Source organism: Homo sapiens, chromosome 18, assembly GCF_000001405.40.
Source record: "Homo sapiens chromosome 18, GRCh38.p14 Primary Assembly".
NCBI classification, from domain to species: domain Eukaryota; kingdom Metazoa; phylum Chordata; class Mammalia; order Primates; family Hominidae; genus Homo; species Homo sapiens.
Genome location: NC_000018.10, coordinates 4,854,362 through 4,855,698, shown reverse-complemented (window position 1 = coordinate 4,855,698; position 1,337 = coordinate 4,854,362). Strand labels below are relative to the sequence as shown.

The window sequence follows — 1,337 nt, the reverse complement described above, 5'->3', positions numbered from 1 at the left end:
GGTCTTACCTTTTGAGTTAAGCCACTGGCACGTTTTGTTTGTTGATGTGTGCCTCGTTCAGTAACGTGGGGAATGAGAATCCTCTCTAGACTGTGGTAGGAGGTTGTAGGCAGTGTGGGTAACTGCACATCCCACCCAGCATCTTCAATTCTGCACAGCTAATGTTTACTGCTATTTGATCCACGATCCCCATTATTCTGCTCAAAGACGCAATCATAAAAAGCTTCCAAAAAACCTGCGTGTAGTTAGAGGCAAACCACAGACAAAAATGGAAAGGAAGAACTTTTTTATAAAATTTGGGTTCAGGGGCCAGGCATGGTAGCTCACGCCTGTAATCCCAGTGCTTTGGAAAGCCAAGGCAGGAGGACAGCTTGAGGCCAGGAGTTCAAGTTTACAGTGAGCTATGATCGCACCACCATTGTACTCCAGCATGGGTGACGGAGCGAGACTCTGTTTCCCCTGTCTCTAAAAAACAAAAACAAAAACAAAAAAGGATGGGGTCATGATGGCTACTTCCATTTCTTTCAGGAGATCTTCTGTCTGCTAGGTTCCTAGAAGCCTGGAGTAATGATGCGCCATTTCCCAGTTCTTCACTTTTCCATATTAACTGTCACAGAGGAGGGAAAGGAGCAGTAGAGGAGGAGAAAATACCACTGAGAACATTCTTAATCTCCTTCTGAAGGCTAGCTCATATGCTACGTCCTTTATAATACAAACTCTATGTCCCCAGCTGGAAGTAATTATTTTCCTCTCCTGGATTCCCATATTCCTCAAAATGCAAACTCTCTCATGGTCCTTGTTACTCTGTTTTGCATTACAATAACCTGCAGTGCCACTTAGTAAGCTATTGTCTTTCAGCTCCAAATCCTTCTGTTCTTCAATCTTCTGCTCTGTGCTGCTGGCTGGGGCTGCCACTCTGCAAGCCACAGCACACTTTTGCCAACTGCTCCCTGTTAGGCTGTCTAAATAGGGAACAATGTCAGGAGACAGGAAAACTAGAGGAGAAAGGAGAGACTCACTCTTTCCTCTTAGCTTTCTGTTTCTTGTAGCAGTGAACTATAGGCAGTGGAAGTTCATTCCAGTTGCAGGGGTTGAGTCCACTTTGCAGTTTTTACCAAAATTTGCAGAATTAGCTTCAATATGCCCATGTCAGAGGCACAAGCCTAGCAGCACTCTCTCCTCGGAGATCTCACTTCCGATTTCACTGGCCTTTTCCTCCTTCAAACTTCCAAATTTTAACGATTCCATCTTATTTGGTTATTCTCACAATCCTTGACCTGCTTCTTGTAGCTACCAACTCTGTGATAACCTGGTATTCTCTTTTTGCCTTTTCTGTT

The 1,337-nt window shown here is 44.3% G+C and overlaps 1 annotated feature.

Annotated features, from left to right (window-relative positions):
* Window positions 488–1,120: an enhancer, noted in NCBI's record as "OCT4-NANOG hESC enhancer chr18:4854578-4855210 (GRCh37/hg19 assembly coordinates)". NCBI's record gives its function as "activates a minimal SCP1, AML or CMV promoter by ChIP-STARR-seq in naive H9 embryonic stem cells {active_cell/tissue: H9 hESC(naive)}" and the evidence as "EXISTENCE:reporter gene assay evidence [ECO:0000049][PMID:30033119]".